At 51.5% G+C, this 5,573-nt stretch overlaps 3 annotated features.

The window, feature by feature from the left end:
- Positions 1,897–2,086: a silencer, noted in NCBI's record as "silent region_2715". NCBI's record gives its function as "represses an Ori minimal core promoter by ATAC-STARR-seq in GM12878 lymphoblastoid cells {active_cell/tissue: GM12878}" and the evidence as "EXISTENCE:reporter gene assay evidence [ECO:0000049][PMID:35858748]".
- Positions 1,897–2,406: a biological region, named in NCBI's record as "H3K4me1 hESC enhancer GRCh37_chr10:102810093-102810594".
- Positions 1,905–2,406: an enhancer, noted in NCBI's record as "H3K4me1 hESC enhancer chr10:102810093-102810594 (GRCh37/hg19 assembly coordinates)". NCBI's record gives its function as "activates a minimal SCP1, AML or CMV promoter by ChIP-STARR-seq in naive H9 embryonic stem cells {active_cell/tissue: H9 hESC(naive)}" and the evidence as "EXISTENCE:reporter gene assay evidence [ECO:0000049][PMID:30033119]".

Consider the following 5,573-nt stretch of genomic DNA (forward strand, 5'->3'; position numbering starts at 1 on the left):
GCACCTGAGGCTCTCAGGTGAGTCCAGCAATGGGATTGCGAGCGTCAGTGTTCTCTGCTGCGTCGCCGACCTGGGCGCGCTCGAAGGCAAGTCTTGGCACTTCGGGGAAGAAGGGCTCGCCCTCTCCAGGAGACTCCTCCAGCTTTCCTGCTGCCTCGATTTAAGGACTTCCAACCTTAAATGATGGCCGACCATCGCTTTTTTGGACAGGCTTCCTTGGCCCCCGCCCTCCCTCAATTCAGTTCTCTTATTCTCTCTCCGTGCGCCCCGTCATACTTTTCAGCATACCTACCGTATTTGTGCTTTTGCCTTTATTTGTGCGGCAATTATTGGGCGATTATATCATTGATGTCTGGCTCCCTCACTGGACTGTGGGTTCCAGGGGGAAGACGCCGCAGTTTTGCTCACCAGGGGCTCCGATGTGCATTCAGTAATTGTGTGTTGAATGAATGAGTGGGCAACAGGCTTGTCCCCGGTTTGTTTATTGGAATATCTGCTTCCTGTGCAAGCCTCCTGGCTGCTTAAACTTCCTCACAGCACCTGCACTCTTTCTCCTGACTCCTATTATAATTGTAACACTGATTTCCATGATGTCAGTTCAGCGTCTTCTCCCCCTTGGGACCATGAGCTCCTGAGGCAGGTGGAGCAGAGCACACAGCCGCCTCCCCAGTGCCTGCCAGCAGGGAACTAGGCACTTGGACTGGAGCCTTGGGGCTCTTCTGGCCCCATTCTTTTGAGGACTCTGTGGTCTGGAGAGGCAGAGTGACTTGCAGGAGGTCACATAGCCAGTTAGAAGCAAAGCCAGGATGAAAACTTTCCTCTTCGACACTGTGATTTTTCTACAAAGATCACACCATCAGGGACCCCAAGGAAGCCCCTTCTGACTTCTGAAGTTGCTGGGCTTTGGGGAGCCTGTGGGGTTGTCCTAGGAATCTCTTCCTTTGGCGATGATGGTGACCCAGAACTCAACCTCTCCTGGGAGGTAAAGGAGTTCGGGGCGCAGGGGTGCCCTGTACTGTGTGTCAACAGGGGCAAATTCTTTCAATTACATCTCAACTCCAGTTTCTCTTCTTTGGATGTAAAACCACAGAAGTCCTCTTTCTCCAATCTCGGAGAGAGGTGAACTGTCTCTGGTTTCCCTCCCTCCCCACCATTAGAAGAAATGTGGGCCGGGCTCGGTGGCTCACGCCTGTAATCCCAGAACTTTGGGAGGCTGAGGCGGGAGGATAATCTGAGGTCAGGAGTTCGAGACTATCCTGGCCAACATGGTGAAACCCCGTCTCTACTAAAAATACAAAAATTAGCAGGGTGTTGTGGCAGGCACATGCCTGCGATCCTAGTTACTCGAGAGGCTGAGGCAGGAGAATCGCTTGAACCCGGGAGGCGGAGGTTGCCGTGAGCCGAGATCGCGCCATTGCACTCTAGCCTGGGCAACAGAGCAAGACTCCGTCTCAAAAAAAAGAAAGAAAGAAATTTGGGACCAGAAACTGAAGAAATAAAGGGAACTAAAGAGAAAGTGCTAAGAGAGACAGTAGGGGCCTGAGCTCTTCCTCCAGCTCATCACACCCCTGGTGTCACCTCTCTAGAACCCACTTACTCTAGGGGGGAGGGGTGGAATGGGTTTGGGGATGGGGGCAAGATCGATACATCACTGGGTTTTGATGACCGCAGGCTTTCACCTTGCAGATAATGGGGTGAGCGGCGGTAAACTCTCCCCGACTGAGCGGGCTCCCCCGGCCTTAATGAGATAATCAATACTTGTTCTCGGCTTAATTTCCATCTAATTGCTCTTTAACGACGCCGGATAATGGGCCGCCTCCTGTGAGGAGGGAGCTGGCTGGGAATCCGACCCGCCTCGGACTCCCGCCTTTCCTCCCCCGGGCAGGATGCCCTCGCGCAGGTGGGAAGGGGGCGCACCGCGTTCTCTGCGTAGCCGGAGCTCCCTTCGCCCGCCCGCCTGCCCCGCGCCGCCACCTGCCTGCAGCGCTCTCGGCCCCCACCGGGGGGCGCTTCAGACTTTGGTTGCAGGATCCTGGCCAAGGCTCCGTTTCAGGTTCGGGCCACCCCCAACCTTATGGGCTGTGGAACCGCGCGCCTCTGGACAAGCCCTTTTCTCTTCTCACGTCCCACCTCGATGCACTGCCCTGGGAGGGGGCCCCAAGACCTTAGGTAAGTTGCTGTGTTTCTGCACCTAAGGAGGACTCCATTTTTCCCCCTGTAAGGTTGCTGGGCTGTTTCCTGTAAAGGAACCTGGCTGGTCACCACAGACCACTCAGGCAAGGAGAGGGGAACAAGAACGAGGAAGACTAGGCCCCGGGGCTCAGAGAGCCTCCTGATTCCCATTAACCTCACTCCCCCGCTCCAACCACCGAGTCAGTTAGGTTCCTGCGAACGCCAGCAGCTCAGTCATCAGCGCTCGCTTCTCTCACTTCCCACCTGCCTATCTCAGCAGGAGGAACACCTGGAGGTTCTCCCCAGGGACTCTCAGACAGCCTGGCCTCCTCTCTCCTCCCCCCACCTCATCTTTCTTGTCTTCTCTTGAGGCCAACCCTGAAGCACTTTGGCCTCAGGTGCCCAGATGCTGTGACCTGCGATTTCCCCATCATCTCCCTACCTCCTGATCTCCTGCCACCTGGGCACACACTCGCCTGCATTTCCACAGCTTGTCCCCTGAATATGGGGTATTTACATTTATAAAACACTTGCTGCTATTCTGGCTCCAGCTGCAATGAAGTTAGGCTGGCAAAGATACTCTAATAGTGGCAGGATAGTGTGATGTTAGAATCATGCCTTGGACCTAGGCAGCCCCAGGTTCAAGTCTTAGCTCTGTTGCTTACTGGCCAGTGACACTGGGCAAACTTTCCTACAGGTCTGAAACTCAGCTTTCTCTTCTAATAATCCTACCCTACACGGTTTTGTAAGTCTGAAACAAGTTAACATATGCAAGTTGTTTGCCATAGGGCCTGGCGCACTGATAAATGATAGCTATTATTGTTATTGTTATCATCTTTATTATAATTATTTTGACAAAGGGTCTCGCTCTGTCACCCAGGCTGGAGTGTAGTAGTGGCACCATCATAGCTCACTGCAGCCTCAACTCCTGGGACCAAGTGATCATCCTCCAGCCTCGGCCTCCCTAGTAGCTGGGACTACAGGTATGTGCCACCACACCCAGCTAATTTTTTACTTTTTGTATAGATGGGGGTTTCACTATGTTTCCAAGGCTGATCTTGAACTCTTGGGCTCAAGAGATCCTCCCACCTCGGCCTCCCAAAGTGCTGAGATTACAAGCATGAGCCACCATGCCTGGCCTGTTGTTATTATTGCATGTTAGAGCTGAAGGAACCATCTAGTTCAAGGAACATGAACTCAAAGGCTATGTCAGGAATCTTAAATAAGGGAAGCACACTAGGTTGGGATTGTGTTGAGCTGGAGAGGGCTAGTCCTGTTTAAAACGGCAGCCAGTACTCACCTTCAATTGTTGCTGGGTAGACCAGATTCCCCACTGTTTGTTGTTTGTTTTCAAAACAATCTGGCAACATCAGCAGCTTGGATATCATCTCTGGCCTTTCTTACCTTACCCCTCCCACCTCTCTATCCTAGCACTAGGAGCAGCTGGGGGTTCTCCTCAAAGCCTCTCTGAACATCCTGGCCTGAAAATTCTGGCCCCAAATTCTGGACTTTTATATAAAATGTCTCAACGTTTGAGTAGAAACTTAAAAACACCATGCCAAATATGACATGCCTTAAGTCCAAATTCACCCTTGTTTCTCAGAAGAAACCTTGGTTCAGATGGGTCTCAGCTGCTGGCAAAGCTGAGACTGAAAGCCTCGATTCTAAGTCAAAATAAAAACTTCTGGGAGGCCCTTCCTAGGCTGTGGGGCCTCTAGCTGCCACCTACCATAGATGCTGCCCGTCACAGGCAGTGCCCAGTGGCTGAGCTATTGTTTGCACTTGGCAGCTCCAGAAGCATAAGACCTGGGTCACAGCAGCTTTGTCTCTTGTGATGCAGCCACACTTTCAAAAATGTTAGGCCAGGCCAGGCACAGTGACTCATGCCTGTAATCCTAGCACTTTGGCAGGCTGAGGCGGGCAGACTGCCTGAGCTTAGGAGTTTGAGACAGCCTGGGCAACATGGTGAAACCCTGTCTCTACTAAAATACAAAAAATTAGCCAGGCATGGTGGTACACACCTGTAGTCACAACTACTCAGGAGGCTGAGGCATGAGATTTGCTCAAACCTGGGAGGCGGAGGTTGCAGTGAGCCAAGATGGTGCCACTGCACTCCAGCCTGGGTGACAAAGCGAAACTCCGTCTCTAAACAAAACAAAAATGTTAGGCCAGGTGTGGTGGCATGTGCTGGTAATCCCAGCACTTTGGGAGGCTGAGGTGGGAGGATTGCTTGAGCCCAGGAGTTTGAGTTCAGCCTGGGCAACATAGCAAGACTTCGTTTCTACAAATAATTTTTAAAAATTAGCTGGGTGTACTGACAGGCGGCGGTGGTCCCAGGTACTTGGGAGACTGAGGCACAAGGACTGCTTGAGCCCAGAAGGTCAAGGCTGCAGTGAGCTGTGATTGCGCCACTGCACTCCAGTCTGGGAGATGAAGAAAGACCCTTTCTCAAAAAAAAAAAAAAAAAAAGTTGTTGAGGGGAGTGTGACAGCAAGTCAAAAAGTCCCAGGACCCAGGGGATCTTAACCCCCAATTTAGAGCCCTCAAATTCTACACACTTCTTTAGTTCATCAACTTCTATTTAATTCTACTCAACAGATTTCCCATCTGTATCCCCCACACTGGGGGACAGATCCAGCAGGTTTGTTGGGAAGTTCTCCTGATTGCCACTTTTTTGTTTTGTTTTTGGAGACGGGGTCTTGCTTTGTCGCCCAGGCTGGAGTGCAGTGGCACAATCGTGGTTCACTGCAGCCTTGAACTCCTGGGCTCAAGCAATCCTCCCACCTCAGCCTCCCAAGTAGCTGTGACTATAGGTGCAGGCCACCATGCTAAGCTATTTGGGGAGGGGGGTAGAGGCAGGGTATCCTTATGTGCCCAAGGCACCTGGCCTCAAGTGATCCTCTTGCCTTGGCCTCCCAAAGCACTAGGATTACAGGCATGAGCCACTGCTCCTGGTCCTGTGATTGTGACATTTTGCTACCTCTCTTCTTGTATCTTACCCTTGGGGAAAATGATAGAAAAGGCACAAAAAATTCTGGATTTTGGCAGGCTGAGTATGTTGACATGGAATGCTTATGAACTTTTATACATGCACAGCATTCTATGAATCATATTCTGATGCTCTGCTGGGACCTGAGATTCTCCATGTGGTTTGGTTGCTTAAAAGCCAAGTAGTTCCTAGCTAATTAGTCCTTTTTATTTCCCATCAGCCCTGAGAAAGCCCCCACTGTTTCTTGCTTGGAGTTCTGAGCATACACTTGTCAGGCTCTTCCTTAGTTTCAGTGAACTGGTCAGCTGAGGGGAGTCCCAACACTCCACAGAAGCCAACACTAGACTCTGTTATTTCTCAAGTGCAAAGGTTGAAAGTGGGATATCCAGGCCGGGTGCAGTGGCTCATGCTT

This window comes from Homo sapiens, chromosome 10 (assembly GCF_000001405.40).
Source record: "Homo sapiens chromosome 10, GRCh38.p14 Primary Assembly".
In the NCBI taxonomy this organism is placed as follows: domain Eukaryota; kingdom Metazoa; phylum Chordata; class Mammalia; order Primates; family Hominidae; genus Homo; species Homo sapiens.